Source organism: Homo sapiens, chromosome 8 (assembly GCF_000001405.40).
Source record: "Homo sapiens chromosome 8, GRCh38.p14 Primary Assembly".
Lineage (NCBI taxonomy): Eukaryota > Metazoa > Chordata > Mammalia > Primates > Hominidae > Homo > Homo sapiens.
In genome coordinates, this window is record NC_000008.11 from 136,507,392 (window position 1) to 136,532,748 (window position 25,357).

The window sequence follows — 25,357 nt, forward strand, 5'->3', positions numbered from 1 at the left end:
AAAATTTAAACATTTTCCGGAAAAAACTTAAAACAAAAACAAACAAACAAAAGACATAAGACTAGAGGATATGCTGTCTAAAAGAAACCCACTTCATATATTATTGTATGTGCTAGTTAAAAGTAAAAGTTCAAAAACAATATACTATGCAAACACTAATCAAAAGAAACCTGGAAAGTTTAAATTAAGTCTATATTAAGTCTACATCAAGTCTACATCAGACAATGTAGACTTCAGAGAAAGAAAAAATTACTAGACATAAAGATAAATGTTATATAATGTTTAAACAGTAAATTCACTGAGAACATACAACAATTCTAAATGTAAAGGCACCTAAAAATAAAAATATATAAAAATCAACTGATTTTACTGAAAGAAAAAAATAGAATTTCTAGTTAGAGGTTTCAGCATATTTATCTCAATAATTAATAAAATAATTCACATAGTTGTAAAATCAGCAAGCATATAGAAAATGGAACAAAACCATCAACAAATTGGATTTAGGGAACATTTATAAGTCATCCCACTAAACGATAGCAAAATACATATTCTTATAAAATGCACATGAAATATTTACAAAGACCGTATTCAAAGTCATAAAACAAAACTAATTAAAACAATAAATGTATCTATTCTCATCATAGCAAACTGTAATACAAATCAATAACAGAAAGTTAATTATAAAACCTCTAAAATATGGTTTGGCTCAGTGCCCCCACCCAAATGTCATGTTGGAATCCCCAATTGTAATCCCCAGTGTTGAGAGAGGGACTTGGTAGAGGTGACTGGATCATGGGGATAGATTTCTCCCCTTGCTGTTCTCATGATAGTGAGTGAATTCTCACAAGATTTGGTTGTTTGAAAGTGTGTAGCACTTTCCCCTTAGCTCCTTCTCTCTCTCTCCTGCTGCCATGTGAAGATATGCTTGCTTCCTTTTTGCCCTTCTGCCAATATTGTAAGTTTCCCAAGGCCTCCTCAGCCATGCCTCCTGTACAGCCTGTGGAACTGTGAATCAATTAGACCTCTTTTGTCTATAAATTACCCCATCTCATATAGTTCTTTATGGTGGTGTGAGGATGGACTAATACACTCTAGAAACATGGGAATTAAATAATGCATTCTAAGTAATTTACAATTAAAAAATAAAATATTAATAAATTAACTTCATTAAAATAAAAAATATTTGCCTTGTGAAAAACACAGTTAAAAGAATGAAAACACAAGATACAGACTGAGAGAGAATATTTGCAAACCAAATACTCAACAATTGATTCATGTCCAGAATTTGTTTAAAAAAACGCGCAAAACTCAACAATAAACAAACCACTCAATGAAAATAAAAATTAGCGAAATATGTAAACAAACATATCACCTAGGAAGATACAGAAATGACAAATATGCACAGGAAAATATGCTTATCTTCAGTAGACATTAGGGAAACGCAATGAAAAAATGAATAAAATACCACTGCATACCTATAAGAATCACAAACAACAACTAAAGTTTTAAAATCACAGTATCAATTGCTGGCAAAGATGTGAAGCAGCTAGAGCTCTTATTCAAACACTTCAATTAAAATTCTGACATTTACGGGAAAAAAACTAAAATGCAAAGAAAAAGTACAAGATCAGAGGATATGCTGTCTGAAAGAAACCCACTTTGTATATTCTTGTGTGTGCAGGTATGTCACTGGTAGGAATGTAAAATGGTAGAGTCACTTTGGAAAGTAGTTTGACAGTTTCTTATAAATGTCAGCAAAGAGTTTTTGTATTACCAGCAATTTCACTTCTAGGTATTTACCTAAAATAAATAAAAGCTTATGTTTACACAAAATCTTCTACAAAATGTTACAGCAGCTATATTCTTAACTGCCAAAACTGTAAACAACCCAAACATCTTTTAATGAGTGAATGAGTAAATAAATTATGGTAGGCTTATGCAATTGAATACTAAATAATGATAAAAAGGAACAAGCTATTGATATATAGATGAATCTCAAAGACATATTGCAAAGGGAAATAAATCAGACTCAGTGACTACATACGTATGTTACATACTGTTATTACATTTAAATGACAGTGTTTTTTGGGGGTTGGGGTTCAAAGGGGTATGGTGTGAGGATTTGCAGTAATAGATGCAGCATGATGTAATTTCTTGGGGTGATTGAACTGTTCTGTATCCTCATTAGAGTTGTGTTTACACAAATTTATAAATATTTTATAATTCATACAACTGTACCACAAAATGTCAATTATACCATGTGTAAATTTGGTGAGTAATGACAAATCTAATTTAAATAGGTGTAAAAGAAAGCAGAAAATGGAGAGTTGGGGAGTTGAGTTGTACAGGTGGAGGAGAGAGTAGATTCATATACTTCCTGGGGGTATGCATAAGACATACCCATAGAGATCTATAGCAATATATTAAGTAAATGAATCTGCAGCTTCTGGGATGATTCTGATCTATCTAAACAGATCTGTGAGTAATGGAATAAAAGTGGTCAGAGTATGAATGGTGTCTCCCTGGAAGAGTGTGTAGAGTTAGAAGAAAATGTGTTCCAACAGAAATACCAATATTTAAGAATTGTGCAGGGGTTGTGTATATCAGAAACTTATAATCAAGCAAGCAAGATAATAAGGCAGAACGCAGTATAAAAGGCAGTAGAATGTTTCAAGATAAGTCTGCATCAAATGCAGCAAGTTGAAGAATAATCTGCCCATTGATATTTGTGATTAGCACTGAAATTTCAATATCATGACAACTTACAGTAATTTCTATCAAGGGGTAGAATGAAGGTTTGATCATTCTATAAAGTCTCAAGGTGTCTCAAATCTAGCCAGGGTGCCAAAGCAGCATATTGGAATATTAGGGAGAATGGAAGAACACAAAGCATGCATTTTTTGTATCCTCTCACATTTTTCTGTTATACTTTACCTTTCAGCCAATAAAGATACAATTTTGCAGTACTATAGAAACACAGTTCAGTTAGCTTCCCAAAGAGGTTTTAGGTTTAAGCCAAGATAGAGAAATTTCATAAATTTATAAGTGGTACACAGAATCTTTACTTAGTGGAAATTCCTTGATTTACAAAATGTTCTTCCAGTAGGATGAAGTTAATATTTTATTGAACTTCTACTCTGTGGCTGCCCCTTATTTATAGACATCATTAATTTACTCATCCAATCATTTATTCAATAATCATTCAATAACCATGCACTGAGCTCCCAATATGAGCTGAAGAAGCAATGAGGAACGAGCGCATAATAGATTTTAAATTAAAGCTATTTTGTTTTGCAGTCAAAATAGGCTGTTTATGACCCATAAGGCGGTCAGTACTAGCATAGTCACTTCTGTACATTCGACTCCTCAGGAAACCGATGCTGTCATTCTCATGCTTAAAGTGTAAGAAGACATATTGTAGAAAAACATGGTTTAGCAGAGGGAGAGTTTGGTCAGAGAAAGTCATAACAAAGACCTCAGCTGATTCCACAGGGAGCTTTGAAGCTGGATGTCCCTTAAGAATGACTCTGTGCTGAGGCAAAGAAACCAGGCTCGGGTACCCCTGCATGACCCAGTCATTTAAGTTGGGTAGCAGCTTCACCCCTAGAAGGGGCCATGACTTGGGCAAGGCAACTCTCTTTGGCTCCAGGCAATTTTTCAGGAGGGGTTTAGCTAAGATTCAGCGTCTTTCAATGCTCTGAGCAGGTGAGATAAGGAGTATTTCAATTCTGAATCAAGAGGACAAGTGTTATAGTAACCACCTGTTGTCTTCAGTGTTTCTGAGTGCCTTGCACACATAGGTACTTAAATACTGGTAAGTACGTAATCTCTGCAACTAAATGTCACCGTTGAGAAAGAGAGAGAAAGAGAAACAGAGAAAGAGAGAGAGAGAAAGAAGTTTTGTGCAAAATGCTGTAGTGAATGTATGAGCAAATCACTATCTTATGTAATCCTCATGTATCCTTAAGGGATAGAGTTGCAACATTTAGCAAATTAAAATTCAAGACACCCAGTTAAAATTTGAATTTCAGATAAGCAATGAATACTTTTTAGTGTAAATGTTTAATGCAGTATTTGGACTGTATGTGTATGTATGTACTTACTATGTATATATTATATATGTATAATACACAGACATATGCCATATTTTATGGATACTACTTATACTAAAATATTATTCATTGTTTACCTGAAATTGAAATTTAATTTAGCATTCTATATTTTCCTGGCAAATCTGGGATAGATGACTGAGGTTCTCAGTATTGCACAAAAATTTTTAAAAAGTAGTGATACCAAAAGGTACCAATGCAAGGAATTAAACTAGCCCTGTTTAACCATTGTGACGGTGGTGCAAGGAATTAAACTAGCCTTGTTTAACCATTGTGATTATTATTAGTCTGTGATCCTTAGTTTCATTTGCATATTTTTGTGTTTTCTCAATTTCAGCGAGCTAGAAGCCTTTTAATATTTTCCCCAGGTTCTGCCAATGGGACGAATTGATGGGAAGATAGAAGGCGGAGAGAGGAGGTTATTTCTCCCAGCTTCTGGTTGTGCCTTTGCTATCACTAGCAACAGCTGGAGGCAGCTCCAGGCTCTTTGCAGCAACTTTGGCATCAGCCGCAGCATCACTGTTAGTGATTTCAGCAGCAATAGCACCCCTGTGGGTTCCTGGGACCCTGTTCAGCAGGAGTGTTTTGGTACCAGCAGCAGGAACAGCAGCAGAAGTACCACTGGCAGATTGGCTGTAAGCGTGGGTTCATAGACTCCAGCAATAGATATTCAGGAATGGGACTTTGGGATTGGTTATTTGACCAGATCGGGGAGCCTAGAGTTACTTTGAAATGCAGTAAGCAGCAAGAATGGAGGTAAAAGATGACGCTTGCTTTAAATTAGAAGAAAATGAGTCACAACAAAAGCTCTGTGACCGCCTCTGGCGGAGAAGATGTTTATACAAGGCACGCCATTACTGATGTCTCCTGGGAATGCACCAGGGAACAGCAAACAACGGCATTAGCAGTCACTTCTGTCTTTCTTAGGTTCTAGTGCAGGTCCGTTTTTACAACAAGTTTGAGTTATATCCCAGGACTTGTTTCATCTCTCACATTTTATTCATCCTTGAACTGTATTTACTCCAACAGTAGTCATTCCCAGGGCAGCACCTGTCTCCGTGGTTCTAAAATCCGTGAATGCTGCCTGCACAGGCCCACTCGATTACTTGGGCACCAGTTCTACTCCTCAAATATTGATACCTTTCAAATTTTCTCTAATCTCTTTGGAATCGTGTATCTCTGGAGTTGAGAAGTCTCAGATGAGAAATAATAACTTTACCTAACCTCAGGTCAGGAATTCTGAGTTTGCAAATCTTGACTATGCTGTAAGCTGTTTTGAGTAGAATATGAGAACCTTGAGATTCCCACTTATAGATAAATCATGAAAAACCTGATATAATTTCATTAATTCTCCATGAGTATTCAGTGAAATAGAATAACTAATAGTTGTGTAGCTTAATTCTTGGAAATAATATAGTCTCAATAATATAATTTGAGTAATTTTTGAGTAAAAGTCCTGTCTTAGATGACCTGATGCTAAAAGACAATATTAGCAACATCATCAGTGAGTATGAGAATTTAATAAGACAATAAATATAAAAATGCTCTTGAAATTATTTAATTGCAATGATTATTAGTCTTTATTATTGATTTGTTCACATGACAATTTTTTTAGATGACTACTGATTTTGTCACTTTCTATTAAGGTAATATTAACACGTATCCACTTAATTGTTTTAAGTATATGATTTTTCCAGTTCCATTTCTCAATTAAGAAAGAAGAATAGAGAACCAGAGGGATTAAAGAAATAGTAAAGACATTTGAGGATTTCAGTCTTTCATTTATTGAGTACCTACTATGTGCCAGACACCCTGCTATATTCCAGGGATACAAAAATCTATACCATGCTGTAAATATCTTATTCTCCAGCAATAATAGCAATAGGTACAACTAATGTTTAAAGAGCACTTGTTTTGTGCCAACCCTGATTCTAAATGTTTCACATGATTTATATGATTTAATCCTCACATAATCACTCTACAATGTAGCTACCATTTTTTTTTCTGTACATAAAGACATGGAAACTTTTCAAATTTAAGTAAAAAGTCTAAGACTATATGATATGGTAGAGTCAGATTCTAGCAGAATGAGGAGAGGAGTAATGTGACCAAATTATAAAGGCCAACTTGCTATGGAGGTAACACTAATGACCGTGTAGACCAATCTAATCTTCCATTCCAAGTGCTTTTTCTTCCTGACAGATCAGCAGCATTTGACAGTACTGTCTCATCCCTTGAAAAAGTCTCTCCTGCAGGCTTCCAGGATAAGGAATTGTTCTAATTTACCTCCTGCACCACTGGCTGTTCCTTCTAATTCCCCTCTCCTGCTTGGACTTCATCTTCCTGATCTGTTAATGTTGGAGCACCCAAACACTCAGTTTTTGGTCTCTTTTGCACTTCAGTTTCCTTCCTTCAATTTTGTAGTTTGTATTCACAACTTAAAATACCATTATTATTGACTCAAATTCTTATCTCCATACTAGACTCTTATTCCAAAATGCATCCTCATATAGCCTACTGACTATCTCCAGTTGGACATTAATCTGTCAACTCTTAGTATGTCCAAAAACAAGCCCTGGGTATTTTGGTTCCAGCCTGCCCTTCCTTCCTGCACTCCGCTTTTTTATTTAATATAAACTGTATCCTGCTGCATGTTCAGGATAAACCCTTGGAGCCTTCCTTGATTCCACTTTGTGTCATTGCCTTCACCTAATCTGTTAGCAAACTGGATTGAGTATATTTCAAAAATATTTAGAATTTGACCAATCCTTTCATTGCAAACACCCTGATCTAAACCATCATCATCTCTCAAATAATCTGATTGGAGATTGCTCAGGTTTGGAATATTAATTCAGTAGCGATCTGCCCTGTATCCACTTTGGACTGTACTCAACACTTCAGCCAGATTAAGGAAGCCTGATCCTGTAAGCTCTTTCTTATAAATAGAAAAGTACATACATAAATACACAAATAACTCTTTACACAGTAAGAATCAAAATTCTATTGACAATGAAGGAGGCTATGTATGTGTGAGACAGGGTGTATATCAGAAATTGCTGTACCTTTCTCTCAATTGTACTATGAACTTAAAACTATTCTGCGAATATAGTCTATCCAAGAAAAAAATAAAAGGGCCCAAATCCTTGCAAAGGTCTGTCATGCCTCTCACAGTCTATCACCACTCACTCTTTCCCTCACTCTAATTCAGCAATGCTGCCTTCTTGCTCTTCTGCAAAGAAATTCACTGTGATCCCACACCTGGGTTTTTGCAATTGTTTCCCACTTCCTGGAAAAGTTTTATGCATATACCCACACAGTTCAATCAATCCTAGGTCTTTGTTCAAATTATTATTTTAACTGTCACTCTTACTCACTTCCATATTTTCAACTGCAACCCAGACCCAGCACTTCTCATTATCCTTCCCTATTTTATTTTTTATATATTTATTTTTTGTAGAGATGGAGTCTCACTATATTGCCCAGGCTGGCCTCAAACTCCTGGCCTCAAGCAACCCCCCTCTCTCGGCCTCCTAAAGTACTGTGATTACAGGCATAAGCCACAATACTAGGCCCTGTTTTGTTTTTTCTGCATGCACTTTTCACAATCTAATATACTACATATGCTATTTATTACCGTTTTTATTTTCTCTTTTTCCTCAGAAAATTATAAACACCTTTAGGGTTGTTACTTTTCTATATTTTTTCATTGTCTCACTCTCAGTGACTGGAAAAATATTAGGGAAATAGTATATGTTTGATAAATATTTATTAATGTAGTCATAAAGAGATGGACAATTTATTAATGACAAGTACATCTTGTGGCTTGGGAAAATCAGGGTAAAATTTTACAGAAGAAATGTAGGGTAAAAAATGAAAAGGCATTTCTCTCTCTCTCTTTTTTTTTTTTTTTTTTCTGCGATAAAGTCTCTCTCTGTTGCCCAGACTGGAGTACAATGGCGTGATCTCAGCTCACTGCAACCTTCGCCTCTTGGGTTCAAGAGATTCTCCTGCCTCAGCCTCCTGAGTAGCTGGGATTACAGGTGCCTGCCACCATGCCCATCTAATTATTTTATTTTATTTTTTTTAGTAGAGACGGGGTTTCACCAGGTTGACCAGGCTGGTCTCGAACTCCTGACCTCAGGTGATCCACCCTCCTCAGCCTCCCAAAGTGCTGGGATTACAGGTGTGAACCACCATGCCTGACCTCACAAAAACTAGGGTAGGAGCAAAGGTATGAGCCCATGCATGGATTTGTGTACAGATGAAATATAGTTTTTCATCAGAAAAAATTAAAAAGAATGGAAATTAGCAAACAAGATAGGATGCATCAAATGTTGACTTTTAAAATGTGCGTTCCTGCAAGTAATCATACTCCGACACCTGACAGATCTGAAACTAAGAAATTTCCAAAATATTGCTTCTCCAATGGTGAATATACAATGTGTTTCATTCCACTTCCTTACAGGGTTAAGCAATTGACTATCAATCAATAATCTTTTATGAAAGAAGAGATGGTGCAGCACACGCATGCCCAATATTAAGAGAGAGAAGACATTTATTGAGGCAAGCAGCTGGAGTGGACCTGCCCCCATCACCAGGCCAGCTTCCCACCTGCACGTGCAGCTCTTTCTTCTTTTGCAGGAGGCTGGCTCTGCTCATTAGACATGCAACAAAGAGCTGGCCTGTGGAGCACACATCCATATTCATAACTCAAGTCAGCTGGAAAGTTGTACATTTTTCTTTCTGGGAAGTCATGGCGACAAAGACTGAAGACCCAGGCAGCACAAATGTGAATGATGGGTGAGTCCTTAATTCAACCTTCTCCCACCCTGACTGCAATCTCTGGTGGACTTTCTAGCAAGGAAATGGGACTGGGTCACTCCCCTGCTTAAAAACCTTTCAAAGGCCTCATCTTTTATAAAGTATAAATTTCTTTTATCTTATTATGTAAGGAACTGAGTTATCTTGCTCCTGCTTAATTCTGATTCTTTTTCTTTATATTTTCTTAGATGAATTTTGAACAAATGTGGTATGATTTACAAACAACAAATTGTACATGTATTAACTGTACATTTTCATCTATGTATGTAGTCATGAGAGCACCAGTACAATCAAAATAATAAATATTCCTCTATCACTCCTGAAATCGTACACCTGCCCCTTTGTTACTATTTCCCTCCTGTCCATGTGAAGCCAAAGGTCAGCCTTCTTTTGCTGTGGATTAGTTTATATTCTCTATAATTTATAGAGATAAAATAATACAGTGTGTAATGAGAAGGAGTAGTCTGGCCTCTTTAACTCAGCATATTTAATTTGAGATTTTGTTGTTTGTATCAAGAGATCATTCTTTTATATTACTGACCCATATTCCACTGTATGAGTATATGACAGTTTAATTTAATGGCAGACATTGCTAATTTTATCTTATTAGGGGCTAGATATTTACACATTTATATAAATGTCATTGAACTCTGTTTGGCATGTCATTAATTTATTTATAAACAGTGTGATCTTTTTCGGCCATTCTTCTAATATGTGGAAGTTGGTAACAGGGGTATGTTTAGTCTAGGACTAATTATATCTCACTATGGAGACAAGAATTCCTTGAATATTCCCTGCAATGTCTCATAATTTATGAGGATTTCTAGTGCGGCTTGTGAAACCAACCACTATTTCTGGCTGTGAGAGTTCCAAGCCTTTTTCTGACTAATTAATTTAGATGATACTTTCCCCAGACTCATGCTGTTTCCTCAGACATGTGCCCTAATCAATAGTCTGCTGAATCTCCAAGGGAGGCACTCTGCAGTCTCTAGATTTCTGTCTCTGCAGCTCTTTTCTCTCTCACGCTCTGTCCTGTGAACTCTAACTGCCTTGATCTTCTCTGAGTTTCAGGTCGGTCTCAGCTCTGGGAGTCTGTCGTGCTCTGCCTGAAATTCCCCTTCTCTGTGCTACAGCCTTGAAACTGTGTAGTAAACTGGGTCAATAATCTGCTCACCTTGTTTGTTCCTCATTTCCATGGTCATTCTCCTTTTATTGCCTGATATACAGTGTCTCAAAAATCGCCTTACATAAATTTTTTTGATTTGTAAATTGTTTTAGCTGAGAGGGTATTAACTGTTCCTTGTTATTTTACGTTGTCAGGAAATAAAGTCTCTTTTTATTATTAAAAGATATTTTCACTAGGAATAAAATTCTGGTTTGGCAGTACACTGCGTCCCCAACACCCCAATACACACACAGTTTGTTTTTCCTCTTACACATTTTAAAGATTTATTCCACTCTCCTCTGGTTTGTGTAATATCTGAAGAGAAGTTAGCTGTAATTCCATTATTTATTCTTTTGGATATAATGTGTCTTTTTGTTTCCCTGATTGACTTCAAATTTTTTTTTCTCTTTTGTTCCCAGTAATGTGCATGTAATACTCTAAGTGTTATGCAGCAGGGGTCCCCAACTTCCGGGCTGTGGACCAGTATCCACCTGTGGCCTGTTAGGAAGTGGGCCACACAGCAGGAGGTGCCCGCTGTCAGATCAGCAGCGGCAGTAGATTCTCACAGGAGCGCGAACCCTATTGTGAACTGCAGACTTGAGGGATCTGGGCTGCATGCTTCTTATGAGAATCTAACTAATGCCTGATGATCTGAGATGGAACTGATTCATCCTGAAACCATCCCCCCTTTCTCCCACGGAGTCTGTGGAAAAATTGTCTTCTGCAAAACCAATCCCTGGTGCCAAAAATGTTGGGGACCTGTTATACATTATATTTCTCAATTACTATTTTTTTCAAATATTTCTTCTGACTTTCCTCTCTTTTCTCCTTTTGAAATTCCAATTATATCCTTAACACACTGAGAGAGATTGAGGAGGTCCCCATCTCTTAGATTATATTGTATGTTTTGTTGTTTGCTGGTATCCCAGCTACCCATCTTTTCATGCCTTGGGTTTCAGTTAGGACAAGTTCTTTTCATCCATTTTCAATTTTGCTGATTCTTTCTGTAGCTGATTGAATTGACTGATGAAGTCCATCAAAAGTATTTTTCACCTTTGTTATTGTGCTTTTTATTCCTAGAATTTTCAGGGTTTTTGTTTTTTTTTTCTTTTTTTCTGAGACAGAGTCTTGCCCTGTCACCCAGGCTGGAGTGCAATGGCATGATCATGGCTCACTGCAATCTCTGCCTCCCGGGCTCAAGCAATCCTCCCACCTCAGCCTCCCAAGTAGCTGCGACTACAGGCACACACAACCACACCCATCTATTTTTTTTTTTTTTTTTTTTTTGTAAAGATAGGGTTTCACCATGTTACCCAGGTTGGTCTTGAACTCCTGGGCTCAAGTGATCTGCCCTCCTTGGCCTCTCAAAGTGGGATTATGGGTAAGAGCCACTGTACCCAATCTTGCATTTTCCTTCTTTTTTTTCCTCACAGTTTTTATTACTCTGCTGAAGTTTCCAGTCTAATTTTGAACAGTATCCACCTTCTCCACAACAACTTTTACCATATTAATTATACTTACTTTAAATTACATTTTTGCTATTTCAACACTTAGGTCAGTTTGTTATGTGGATAGCTTTTAATATGTGTGTCTGTGCAATTTTGTGTTTATTTTGTTTTTACAATGTCTTATCATTTTTCACTGTTGTTGTTGAAATCTAGATCTCTTGGAAGAACAACAAAGACTGAAGTGAGTATATTTTATGCTTGGAAATGAGCAAATCATTCCTTTTGACAAGCCATTGATGTTGGGGGTGAGTATCTGTCTATCAGGAATTGAGCTAGATTTGAGATTTTTTTCTTGTTATTGTTACTCTTGGTACTCCAGAAGCTTTAAATACTTTTAATATTCCCTGTTATAACAGCTGCTCTGCCAAAGAGGTTTTGTCCACATCTGCTCAACTCTTAGCTTTATGCTTTCCATTTGCTCAATGTCTCAGAGATTATCTTAACTCTGTTGCTTGTCTTTCAACAGCGAAAAGCTATTACTGGCTACTTGATATTGGTTGGCCTGTTGTTGGAGGATGAAGTCTGTTCTTGTAATCTGATTAAGCCTCAGTTTTAGGCAGACACTAATCTCAAACTCCCTGGAGAAAAGCCTTCTAAGTAATCCTGCCCCATCTTCGCCTGGAGTGCTAAGCTAAGCATGAATTCCTAATCATCCTCTAAGATTAGACAACTTTTTTTTTTTCTCCAATTGAAGAGGGTTTTTACTCAGACCCACTCAGTGGGTGACAGTGTTTGCAGCATTTTCCCCAGATCTTTAAGGTTGTGTTTCATAAGAAAAAGAGCCACTCTTGGATTTGTGACTTTCCCACAGTGGCTGCGATTTCCCCCCGCTGGACCTGAACTGCCAGGAATGATTACTCAAGACTTTTGTCAGTCTTTATTGTGAAGACAATACCTGGTGAGGTCTGTGAAGAAGAGTCTGTTGAAGCATTTAAATTTCTCTTGTCTCAGCCCCTAGAGGTTTTATAGTCTCTTTTTTGCTGACACTATGCCATTACCACTTGTTATACATTTTATCTGAATTCTTCTTATGGGTGTCTGGTGGTCCTTGCCCAGGTAAGCAGGTGCTTATGCACCGTTTCTACTGGGTGGTGACTGACTTGTCTTAGATTTTCTGTTCAAGAAAATGTAGAAATTTTCATATTATGCAGAATAGGTTCTGGGATCGAAGTGATGAAGTTTTAATTTTCTATCCTCTAAATAGAAGGTAGAAATTACACTTTTACTTTTAGAAACAGGTATGATTTGTTTGTTTGAATTGATATGTGTAGAGCACTGATATTTACTGTATTATATGATTTGGCTGAAATCTACAGTCTTATGAGTTGTTTTCTATTTTACTCCTTTTTGAGATTTTTTTTATTTTCTCTTCTTGTTTTACTTCTCTTTTTTATTGAGATGACGTTCATATAATATAAAATTAACCATTGTTTGAAGTAGATAACTCCGTGACATTTAGTCCACTCACAATACTATGCAACCACTACTTTTATCTGGCTCTAAAAGCATTTTTGGGGTTTTAAAAGGAAACCCTATACCCTTTAAGCCATTGCCCTTCATTCCTCAAACCTCCTACTTTGCCCAAAGTAACCACCAGTGTACTTTCTGGCTGTATGTACTTTTGTATTTTGAACATCTCATACAAACAGCATCATGCAAGGTGCAGCCTATTGTGTCTGGCTTCTCTCACTCAGAATGTTCTGGAGGTTCATCCATGTCACAGTGTACATCAATACTTTATTACTTTTTATGACTGAGTAATATTCTATTTTATGTGTATATCATGATTTGTTTATCTGTTCATTCATTAATGAAAATTTCAACTGTTTTCACCCTTGGGTTATTATACATTGTGCCGCTATAAACATTCATATATGTGTACTTGTTTGTTAGCAGTTTCCGGTGCTATTGAGCTTGTACCAAAGATTTTCCTTGCATGATCATACACCAATTCTATCTCACTTTTCGAGGAACCTGCAAACTGCTGTCCACAGTGCCTAAACCATTTTACATCTCTACCAGCAACATATAAGTGTTCCAACTAATCCACATGCTTGCAAACTCTTGAAATTCTTTCTCTCTCTCTTAGAGGTTGTAAGGTTCTAACTCATTATGGTTTTGATTTGCATTTCCCAATGACTGATTTTGAGTGTCTTTTCATGCATTCGTTAACCATTTGTATTCTTCTGTAGACAAATGTGTATTCAACTCTTTTACCTGCCCCCTGCCCCTTTTAAAATGGGGTAGTTTGTTTTATGTTGTTAGTTGTAATAATTCTTTATATATTCTGACCACTAGACCCCTGTCAGATATATAATTTGGTAATATTATTTCCCATTGTGTAGGCTTTTTATTTTCTTGATAATGTATTTCTATATATATATATATGTTTTCATATATATTTATATATTTCATGTGTTATATATAAATACATGTATTTATTGATTTGTATTTATTGATTTCTTTTTAATAAAGCCCCATTTTTCCATTTTTTTGTTTTTCGTGCTCACAGTGTGATATCTAAGAATCCATTGACAGATCTGAAGTCATAAAGACCTACCTCTAAGTTTTTTCTCAAAGTTTGATGGTTTCAGCTCTTATATTTAGATTTTTGACACATTTCAGTATTTTCAAAGGCAGACATTTATAAAAAAACATTAATTGAAAGGCTAAATTATCCATATTACTAAGGCCAGAAAGAATACCTAAGACAAATAACAACTATGAGAGACACCACCATAAAAGACACATAACAAAGAGGGCAAAAAGCTCCTCTTTGTTCACTATGGACTTGAATATTTCACGAAATGGATTACATTTTAAAAAGGAAAAGAAAAGCCCTAGGTTGTTGGGTTATGCTAAGCTTTACTTCATAGCACCCATCCACAAACACAGGGGGAAGTTACAATGGAAATTATTTCGTTTCAAGCATAATGGTTGCTGGTAGATATTTCCCTGAGTTTTTCATTTCTTCATTCGCCACATATGTACAGAGCACCAACTCTACACCATGCCTGAGTTAAGACCTCATGGATGAGTGCCACTGCTTGGCCTCTGCCACCTCAGGATCCTATTGTTCCTATTGTATTTAAATATTGTAGTTGAGTGGCTGCAGTTCCCACTGTTGGATCTGACATACAGAGAAGGACAATTACTGAGCTCTTCAAAGATACAGGTTCTGCCCTCACAAATCTACTTCACAAGGCATTGGTCAAGGGTATAGCTTCTGGACCCTCCCAGCTGGGATGAGTAGGTTTAAAGTGACTAAATGACTCCACCATCCCAATCTAAGCCTTTGGATCCCTTTGTCTACATTACACCAAGAGAGATTAGGCATTTCCAGCTCACTCACAGTGGTCCATCTTTTAATCCATGTTTCAGCTAACCAAGCAAATAAACTATGAGAACTCTTTTTAACTTCCTGGGCTGCAATATTAAATCCGAGTCCCTACTTAGTGGGCCCAAATCAATAAATTCAGCCTGATCCAACTCTGTGTTCCTTCCACCATTATCCCATACCCTACTATCCATTCCCATCCCTGTTCTCCAGATTTCTGTTTATATAAATTAGAAAACTCAAGCAGTTCTTTTTAAGTGTAGTATGCCTCCTCATGGTCATACTCTCAACCTCACCTCTAGGGGCCTGCCGGGACTTTAGTCTAGTTATAGATCTAGAAGCAAACAGGGGTGTTGGGGGTGGCTCCTGGGGAGAATCAACATTATCTTACCTGGTAACTGTCTCAGGGGAGGCCATCACTGTTGCCTCAGGCAGTATAGGGTTTGTCTCCTCAGACAAAAGTGGAAAGGCTAATGGCAGCATGGGTTAGGGAGGAAATGTTGCCACTACAGGAGATGGGGAAGCTGTTTCTTCTGGCAAAAAAATTTCATCAGAGTTTACAAACTTAGTGTGCCCAGCTTCATCAGGGTCTTCCTGAGCTGACGTTGATTCCAGGGGACCCAAAACGTCATAGTGATCATCCAGTTAAAGTAGGGGCTTATGGAGGTTGGGTAATTAATGGAGTTTTAGCTCAGTTCCAACTTACAGTGGGTCCAGTGGGTAACCGGTCTTCCCACATGTCCCGATATCAAGTTGCAGGTCTCATTCTTTTCCAATCAATGCCCTCATTTTAACAGTAGTCACCTGGCGAGGCTGTGCATGCACCTTCCATTGCAGGTCAGCTACTCACATGATAAGAGTAGCTGTGTCTGTATTTCCACAACTTCAGCTCTTTCTTTACAGGAGATAAGACTCTCACTCAGGGCAACCTTAGCAGACTTGAGTCTTGGTATCTGCTTCTGATGCCGGGAGATAGAATCCTTGAGTTCATCATTTTCTTTCATCACTTTGCCCACTGAACTTAGGACCAATCAACTAGCTTCATTATTTTCCTTGGTTCTCTACGTATGGTCAGAGGTATTATGTACAGGGTCACCAAACCCCTTGCCTCTCACAAGTGATGAATCAGGAGTGTCAAATGCATTTATTTTCCATAGCTCTCTAAACAGTTCACTTCAAGGACTATCAGTGTTCTCCATAATATTAGAAGTAGTGTCCTTAGCATTTTGGGGTCTAATCATTTTAAGCAGCCAACTCCAGAAACCCCCAAACCAGTGAAAGAACTCCATCCTCAATTCTGTTCCTCTAGAACCACTCCTGGCACCAAAATCTGTATTAGTCAGGGTTCTCTAGAGGGACAGAACTAATAAGAGATATATACATATATGTGTATATACACATATATATATATCCTATTTTATATATATATATTTTATATATATATATCCTATTTTATATATATATATATCTCCTTTTATATATAGGAGAGAGAGAGAGAGGAGATTATTAAGTATTAAGTTTAAGTATTAAGAGGAGTTTATTAAGTATTATCTCACATGATCACAGGTCCCACAATAGGACTTCTGCAGGCTGAGGGGCAAGGACTGCCAGTTCCAAAAACTGAAGGACTTGGAGTTTGATGTTTGAAGGCAGGAAGCATCTAGCACTGCAGAATGATGTAGACTGGGAGGCTAGGCCAGTCTCTCTTTTCACATTTTCCTGCCTGCTTATACTGTAGCCACACTGATAGCAGATTAGATTGTGCCCACCCAGATTAAGGGTGGGTCTGCCTTTCCCAGCCCACAAGTCAAATGTTAATCTCCTTTGTCAACACCATCACAGACACACCCAGGATCCATACTTTGTATCCTTCAATTCAATCAAGTATACACTCGGTATTAACCATCACAGGGCCTCTGCAATATTTATATTTGACCAGGATTTCTCTTCTACTTCTTTGTCCAAATGATCAATCTCTGCTTCTGACCAGCTTCTCAGGGTATACAATTGCCTCTCAGCTGCTTGAGGTTCTCCACTGCGGTGCCCTCATCCATGTCCTATCCCTCATTAAAACGATCATATTACATAGAAAAGAACTTAGTGGGACCTAGGAATAAAGTTCAGCAGAACGTGAGTGGAGATAAATTCAGGAGAAGCCCTCATTAAGGCTATTTTATTAACCTTACTGGCTACTCCAGCATGCATCCTTTACAGAAAAGAACTATATTGAAAGACTATTATATACTTGTTTCTGGGATATATTATTTTTAGAAGAAAGAGGGCACAAAACTCAGTAAAAAATATTTAAAAACATCTAATATATCTCCAGAAATAGCATAAATAAAGATGACAAAAAGTCAAAAATAAATACTGTCACCAGCATACAATACACACGTATTATATGCTTGTAGGCATGTGCATATTGAGTTAAGAAACAAAAACATCTTTCACTAAATATCAACCCCATCTTCTAACTATGTGACCTTGGAAAAAGAAACATCTCTCTTTTCTGAGCCTTGATATCCAATTAGAGTCAGTATTGCCTATTTTCCAGGCTGGGAGGAAGTTTTAATGACAGCATGTATGTGGAAATAATTTTTGTACTTGTTAGTTCCTCCTGGCTATTTCATATACATCCTTTCTTTTTGTGTAAAATCATGACAGGGTGTAAGTTATTTAATTTTAAGTTGAATAAGGTAGTTTGTATATTATGAACAGTATACACAGCCTACCATTGTGCTGGACCACTATGTGTTAATAAATCAAAATCCCTCTCTTTAATGACAAGATATTTTCACATCTCACTCTCACATTCACTCATGTTCCAAACCAGGCAAACAGCCACAGTTGCTGGGTAGAATGAAGGACTCCTGGACACAGCTAGAGTAGGGAGAAGAAGAGAGTGACTGCAGGCATTAATGAGCAATTGTTATCTCCCAGAAACTTTTCTAATAACTTTATATTAAATCTCCACAGAGACCTCATCAGACACTGTGTCAGTGACGTTCTAAAGGTAGTGAAGCTGGTGAGTGGTAGAGCCAGGCAGTATGGCATGTTACTACTCTACATACAGATCTGCTATTCACCAGCCCTGAGAGCTCTGCTTGCCTCCTGCATACACTCTCTAATTCATTTATGCATTCCCAAGGAGGGTTCCTATGTTTGGGAATTCATTTACAAATAAAATATGACCTCCTCTCTCAAATAGGTCACAATCCATTTGGAACAGGATACAATTTCCTAATCTGTAAAATGGGGAAAAATACTCTGCCAATCTTACAATGCTGTTGTGGGAGCTGAATTTACATATATGAACGCATTTGTAGCTTTCAAATTACTCAACTAGCAGGAAGCATTACTGCTGTGGCTGAAATTCTTGGGCCAAACATTGAGATCTGTGCATTTGTCATGGGAAAGGAAAACAATGTCTTTGCCAAAAGCCCAAAGGAGCTCAGAGCTTCCAAAACAAAAGAGGAGGTAGAGTCTGTCAATCAGCTCTTCTCAGTATAGGAATATGCCACACAGAATGCCAGTATTACATGGATTGGTAAACTCTGTGTGCTCTTTAATTACTTTGGCAATTAGTAGGCAAAACTAACATTAGAAGTCGTTCCATTTTTCCTCCTTTTTATATTTTTCACTTCTTTCTTGCATTTTAAGTGCACCCTGCTGTTTCCAGACACCCCTGAGAGAAATACAGTTTCACTATATCTCAGAACTAGCACAGAGGTAGGAGGCCCTGCAGGCTGCATGAAAGACAAGGTGAGTCAGAGGCTGAAGAATAAGTCATAAAAGAGGAACACGTAAAGATACAGGGAAATAGATAAAATTAATATTATTTAAATGTATATGACTCCTTTTTAGATACCATTTATTGAGCATTCACTCAATAGCACAAAGCTATAACAATGACTATTATCTCAATTAATTTTCACAATATCCCTATGAGGTAAATATTGTTAAAACCTCTGGTTTTCTGGTGAGGAATCAAGTAAGAGAAGTAATGTGCCTAACTTGTGTAATATTTGTAGTTAGAAAATGATGAAGTGAAGAACCATTTTTAGAGAACCTAGTTCCTTACATTACACCTTTTCTTAGCTTCATCATACAACAGTCAGAGAAGTTTGTTTTGTACCCGTCTTAAAGAAGGAAACCAGTCTCAGGGGCACCTGTGTCTCTCATGGTCACTGCATGTGTTGGTTTGCTCAGACTGCATAACAAATGTCATAGACTAGGTGGCTTAAACAACCTAAATTTATTTCTACCAGTTGTTCTGGAGGCTGAGAAGTCTAAGATCCTGGGGCCAGCAAGGTAAATTTATTCTGAAATCTCTTTCCTTGGCTCATAGGTTGTCACTATCCTTCTGTATACTTAATGACCTCTTCTTTGTGTAGAGTGGGGAGAGAGAAAGCAAGATCTCTGATGTTTCTTATAAGGGCAATAATCCCATTATAAAGACCACACCTTCATGATCTCATCTAATCCCAATCACCTCCCAAAGGCCCTGTCTCCAAGTACCATTTCACTGGGGGTTAGGGCTTCAAAATATAAATGTTGGAGGAACACAAACATTCAGTCTATAATATTCTATCCCTAGCCTTCACAAAACTCATATACTTATCACATGAAAAATATATTCAAAGTACTATGAATGAAAAATACTTTTGACTTTAGAGCTGATAATTGAAATCAGTTAAGACTTTTATAGCTGTTGGTACACACACACACACACACACACACACACACACACACACACAGATATAATAAGGAATTAGCTCATATGATTATGAAGGCTGAGAAGTCTAAGATCTGTAGTCAGCAAAGCTTGGAGATCCAGGAGAGCCAGTGATATACTTCTAGTCTGAGTCTGCTGGCCAGATAACTAGGAGAGCCAATGGTGTAAATTCAACTTCAAGTTCAAATCCAAAAGCTGAAGCAAACTTGTTCCAGCTTGAAGACCATCAGGCAAAGAGATTGAACTGTTTCTTACTTAGCCTTATAGTCCATTCACATGTTCAGTGGATTATATGAGGCTAACTCACAGGGTAGAACATTCTGTTTTACTGAATCTGTTGACTGAAATGATAATTTCATCCAGCTACATCTTCACAGACATAAAAATAAATATTATTAAATAAATATCTAGCAATCCCATGGCCCAGCCAAGTTGGCACATAAAATTAACCATCAAACTACATTATTTGCAGACACCTAAGTCTGTAAGGTCCTAAATGGCTCCTACCACACTTTTTAGGAACCATAGCTATGTCAAGGCAAGAATAAAACTAGAATTATTTCCTGGCTGATTCTACTGCTTGCTGCTCTCTCAGCCATCTCCTTCTGTGAAGGGAAGCTTCACTTTGCTCAAGTCTGAATGGGAAGATGGGCCACTTATTGTGATTCAGTTCATCTCTCATAGGAACTTGACTGGGTGGCGTCTATTCTGGCCCATAGACTTTAAGAGGAATTCTACTAGAAGCCTATGCAAAATATTTCCTTTGCAGATTAATAGAGAAGAGAGCCAAACAACAACAGCAACACAAAGTACCTTTACACTTTATTCCTGCCTTGGGAATGTTAATTAAATTAGTGAAAACAGACTTTATATTTATTTATTTATTTGTTTATTTTGAGACACGGTTTCACTCTATCACCCAGGCTGGAGTGCATTGGCGTGTTTACAGCTCACTGCAACTTCTGCCTCCCAGGCTCAGGCAATCCTCCCACCTCAGCCTCTAGAGTAGCTGGGACCACAAATGCACATCCCCACACCCAGCTAAATTTTTTTTTTTTTTTTTTTGTAGAGACAGGCTTCCACCATGTTGCCCAGGCTGGCCTTGAACTTCTGAGCTCAAGGGATCCGCCCACCTCGGCCTCCCAGTGTGCTGAGACTACAGACGTAAGCCACCACACTCAGTCTCAGACTTCGTTTTTAGAAGACTTTTAGGTTCACAGTAAAATTCAGTGGAAAGTACAGAGAGTTCTCTTATACCTCTTGCCCCTACGAACACATAGCCTCTTCCACTATCAACATTTTACACCAAAGTGTACGTTTATTATCATTTATGAACCTACATTGACACATTGTTATCACCCAAATGCCATAGTTTACATTAGGATTCACTCTTGGTGTTATATATTTTATAGGTTTGGACAAATGTATAATTGCATGTATCTGTTATTACACTATTATATAGAATAGTCCCATGGCCATAAGAGTCCTCGATGCTCCCCTTGTTCATACCACCTTCTCTCCAAACAACTGGCAACCACTGATCCTTTTACTGTTCCCATAATTTGCCATTCCAAGAATGTCATGTATTTGAAATCATACACTATGTAGCTTTTTCATATTGGCTTCTGTCACTGAGGAATATGCATGTAAGCTTCCCCCATGTCTTTTCATGGCTTGATTGCTCATTTTCTTTTAGCACTGAATAATATTTAATTGTCTGGATGTACCACAGTTTATTTATCCATTCACCTACTGAAAGACATCTTTGTTGTTTTCAAGTTTTGGCAATTTTGAATAAAGCTACTATAAATATCTGTCTGTATGTTTTATGTGGACATAAGTTTTTAACTCATTTGGGTAACATGATTGCTGGATTGTATGATAAGAGTATGTTTAGTTTTGTAAGAAATGGCTGCCAAACTCTCTTCCAAAGTGGTTGTACCATTTGGGATTACTACCAGAAATAAATAAGAGTTTCTGTTGTTTCATGTTCTTGCCAGCATTTGCAGTTCTCAGTGCTTTTTTAATTTTAGGCATTCTAATAGGTGTGAAATGTCATCCCATTGTTGTTTATTGATCTAATCAAACACGAATGAACTATTTCCAGATTTTCCTTTACATAACTGAAGTTAAAATCTTTATTCCTACCATTGTAACTCTTGCTTCAGCTCCATATATATATATATATATATATACACACACACACACTTACATATACACACACATGTATATGCATATATATATGCATATATGCAGCCAAATACATCCTAAATGACACACAGGTACTATGGCACATCAATGATTGTAATTCACTCTGTTCTACTAATCACCTTCAAATTTATGAGCTCCTCTCAACAATTTCTGACACAAATGTATTAATACTATTATTGTCTCACCACTTTCATCAATATTTTACAGAAGATTAATTTGAAGATAATGCAGCTTACAGGAATTTATATGATTTCAAATTTTATCATTGCAGAGCAGATCTTGGAATTTTCCTGTTTAAATATTCTCCACCTGTGTATTAGACCTTATGTCTTCTTTTTAAGATATTAGTCCATGATTACATGTACACCTCTAACACATCACCATTTTCTCAACCTCACAAGATGCTTCCTATTAGCCTAAAAATATATGCTATTCACCTGAGTTCACGTTCCCTTGAAAATAGGATCTGAAGTAAAGCAATTCTCTAATCCTTAGTGGATTTTTTTTTTGGTTACAGTTCCATGGAAAAGAGAAGGAGGTGAACAAAAGGAAGAAATGCAGAGAAAAATATGGAATAGAAATATGAGGGAAGATATTAGCAAACTGGCTACATCTTTTATGACAAACTCAACTGATTACATCTTTTCCAAGAACATCTTCAGAGGTGCGCTATGAAGTATGCAGTCTCTGCAAATGGGCAGAATGTTTCTATGAAATAGACCTAGACCACCCTGAGGGCTAATGTCATAGTAAAGACTCAGATACTGTGTTTGCTGCTAGCAGACTGTGCATTTAGCAGTGACATCCACTAGGTCAGTCTTGGTGAGAAAAGCTATGTTAAGAGCTGCCATAAAACCTCCATCCTGGCCACCATGGCCACTCTGTCTGTGTGTCAATTGAACAAGACTTGAGTAGGGTAGAAGGGTGGCTGACTCATTGTTCTTCCTGCCCACCTCATTTTCCAGCCCCTCCATAGCAGCAGAAGCTCTCAAGTGGTGTGTTTACAAACCTTGAGCTAGATACAGAGTGCCAATTGGTGTATTTACAATCCCTTAGCTAGACATAAAGGTTCTCCAAGTCCCCACCAGACTCAGGAGCCCAGCTGGCTTCACCCAGTGGATCCTACACTGAGGCCGCAGGTGGAGCTGCCTGCCAGTCCCGCGCCGTGCGCCCGCACTCCTCAGCCCTTGGGAGGTAGATGGGACTGGGCGCCGTGGAGCAGGGGGCGGCGCTCGTCGGGGAGGCTCGGGTCGCACAGGAGCCCATGGAGGTGGGGGGAGGCTCAGGCACGGCTGGGCTGCAGGTCCGGAGCCCTGCCCCGCGGGAAGGCAGCTAAGGACGGGCGAGAAATTAAGCACAGCAGCTGCTGGCCCAGGTGCTAAGCCCCTCACTGCCTGGGGCTGGCGGGGCCGGCAGGCCGCTCCGAGTGCGGGCCCGCCGAGCCTACGCCCACCCGGAACTCGCGCTGGCCCGGAAGCACCGCGCGCAGCCCCGGTTCCGGCCCGCGCCTCTCCCTCCACACCTCCCCACAAGCTGAGGGAGCCGGCTGCGGCCTTCGCCAGCCCAGAAAGGGGCTCCTACAGTGCAGTGGCGGGCTGAAGGGCTGCTCAAGCGCCGCCAAAGTGGGAGCCCAGGCAGAGGAGGCGCCCAGAGCGAGCGAGGGCTGTGAGGACTGCCAGCACGCTGTCACCTCTCACTCATATAGATTGCCAATCTATTTGTGAACCAGGTAGGCCTGAGTTCTTTTCTAATCTGTCAGCTGGTTGTATAGAAACCCCCACAAAGACAGAGGTTTCAGTGGAGAGAGAAGCGTCTGTGGAACCAAGAGAGGAAATGTGAGATTCTGAGCCATTTGTTTATGTGTTTAGTTGCGCCATATGTTTGTCCCTGGCTCTATCCTCAAGGTATGTGGCCACTGTAAAATAATTGCTGTGCCTGCTCTAATTTATGACTTAGCAGATTTGACAATATGCAGTTCTAGGGCAGGTTCCAGTCAGATTGGAGCTACATTTTCCAAATTTCAGTCTGTGCTGATTCTTTTAAAAGAGATGCTAGTTATTTCTAGGAGAATGCATGGGCTTACCTCAGAAATCTGTGCAACTTCGTGTGACTTTCATGTCAGGACTTGCCAGAGATGCCATGTGGCATGCTTATTCACCTTGAAGATTTCTAGCTTCACCAGGTTTCTTGGTCAGTTTTCCCAAGTGTCAGAGGAGTTAATATGTGATCATAAATGTGTAGCAGAACACATTCTTCTAGTGCTGGGCCCAAAATGCAACTGTCAAACCACTAAGTTACTTGGTAGAAGTATTACTAAATCTGATGTATGCTGCCTCCGCATAGAAAGATGACCACGAATAGCTGTGCCCTATTTTATTGTTAGAAGGTATGAGATATACCATATTGCTCTTTATCTTAGGCTGTGCCGGCCAGCATGCTCCAGAAAAGTTCATTAGTGTGATACGATTCATAATCTTTGAGTGGTTTATCTTTCACCCTATGGTGCGTGTGTGTCTTACTGAAAGGGTCTAGGGTCTTTGACACTTTTTGATTAGTAGGTTCAATTGGCCTATTGCCTTCAATACACTGGACCAATTTTACATTTTGCATAAAGTCCCGGAGGACTGCATTATGATAGAGAACAAGAAATTTGACACGGTCCTGTGGCAAGACTGTTAAGGGGTACTGCTATCTTTGCTCTGAAAAGGCAAAGCATTTTTACTTTCTCAACCAGTGGGGCTTGAGATCATTAGCTGTACAGTAAGTATGAGAAGCAGTGTTGATCTATTACAAAATGAAAGCACATTTAACCATGGAACTGCAATTAATGCTACTACTACTGGATTAATTTTTTAATATTCCATAAATACTTGTCAGGAACCATCTAATTTTATTATTAATCATTATAATTATTTTCAGAGTCTAGATGAGGGAATTAAATGGGAAAATGACATCATTTATCTTTCCATTTTTTGAGGATGGTGCTAATCTTTTAAATTTCTCTTCTGATGTATTTTTGCTTCTGGTTTACTATATAGGGTGGGGGAGAGCTGTCTCAGGGATTACTTTCCGTATCCTACTATAATGGTCCTTACACTGAAGGTAAAGAAATAAATGATTATTCTGTCAGATGCTAAGTACCTCTATCTCAATATGTATTTGCATACTACAGAAATTAAGTACAGCGAATGTGTACAGAATAATTTAACTCACTGTAAAACAGTTAGGTAATAATACTCCCCAAATAGTTCATCTGAGCAGCAGTAAAGGTTTCATATTCTACCATAGTCAAAGTTCATCTCACAAATATTCTCTGAACTTCAGTGTTCTTTCACTTTCAACAAAAGAAGCCAAATAAGTTTTTGCATATGTTGTGCTTTCTGGATCTGAAGTAACCCTAGAATTGGAAATCTAAATGGAAGGCTTAGGCAGCAAAACTACTTGAGATGCCCCTTGTGGCACAGCTGGGTG

The 25,357-nt window shown here is 38.2% G+C and overlaps 2 long non-coding RNA genes across 2 annotated transcripts in view, besides 5 other annotated features; both read left to right on the forward strand.

Annotated features, from left to right (window-relative positions):
* Window positions 1-12,906, forward strand: part of LOC124900255 (uncharacterized) — a 30,869-nt gene extending 17,963 nt beyond the window's left edge. Inside the window, exons 2-3 of the long non-coding RNA XR_007061190.1 lie at window positions 8,575-8,909; window positions 11,757-12,906. This is a non-coding gene — a long non-coding RNA (uncharacterized LOC124900255). The remainder of the gene's footprint in view (window positions 1-8,574; window positions 8,910-11,756) is intronic.
* Window positions 1,680-5,232: a meiotic recombination region, noted in NCBI's record as "this region was identified as a recombination hotspot within the HapMap YRI population". NCBI's record gives the evidence for it as "EXISTENCE:nucleotide sequencing assay evidence [ECO:0000219][PMID:20981099]".
* Window positions 1,680-7,975: a biological region, named in NCBI's record as "meiotic recombination hotspot E".
* Window positions 3,247-5,740: a meiotic recombination region, noted in NCBI's record as "meiotic double-strand break mapped by DNA meiotic recombinase 1 chromatin immunoprecipitation followed by single-stranded DNA enrichment and sequencing in the germ cells of some male individuals with the PRDM9 A/A, PRDM9 A/B and PRDM9 A/C genotypes". NCBI's record gives the evidence for it as "EXISTENCE:chromatin immunoprecipitation-seq evidence [ECO:0000229][PMID:25395542]".
* Window positions 3,352-7,975: a meiotic recombination region, noted in NCBI's record as "this region was identified as a recombination hotspot within the HapMap CEU population". NCBI's record gives the evidence for it as "EXISTENCE:nucleotide sequencing assay evidence [ECO:0000219][PMID:20981099]".
* Window positions 3,865-5,264: a meiotic recombination region, noted in NCBI's record as "crossovers mapped in sperm cells of males of European and African ancestries; recombination frequencies vary with PRDM9 genotypes, with PRDM9 A/A > PRDM9 A/N, where N is a non-PRDM9 A allele. Low recombination frequencies are observed with some PRDM9 alleles". NCBI's record gives the evidence for it as "EXISTENCE:DNA detection assay evidence [ECO:0005519][PMID:18650392, PMID:20818382]".
* Window positions 12,907-23,406: 10,500 nt separating the features above from the next.
* The window catches only part of LINC02055 (long intergenic non-protein coding RNA 2055), a 366,804-nt gene continuing 364,853 nt past the window's right edge, over window positions 23,407-25,357 (forward strand). Inside the window, exon 1 of the long non-coding RNA NR_147196.1 lies at window positions 23,407-23,615. This is a non-coding gene — a long non-coding RNA (long intergenic non-protein coding RNA 2055). The remainder of the gene's footprint in view (window positions 23,616-25,357) is intronic.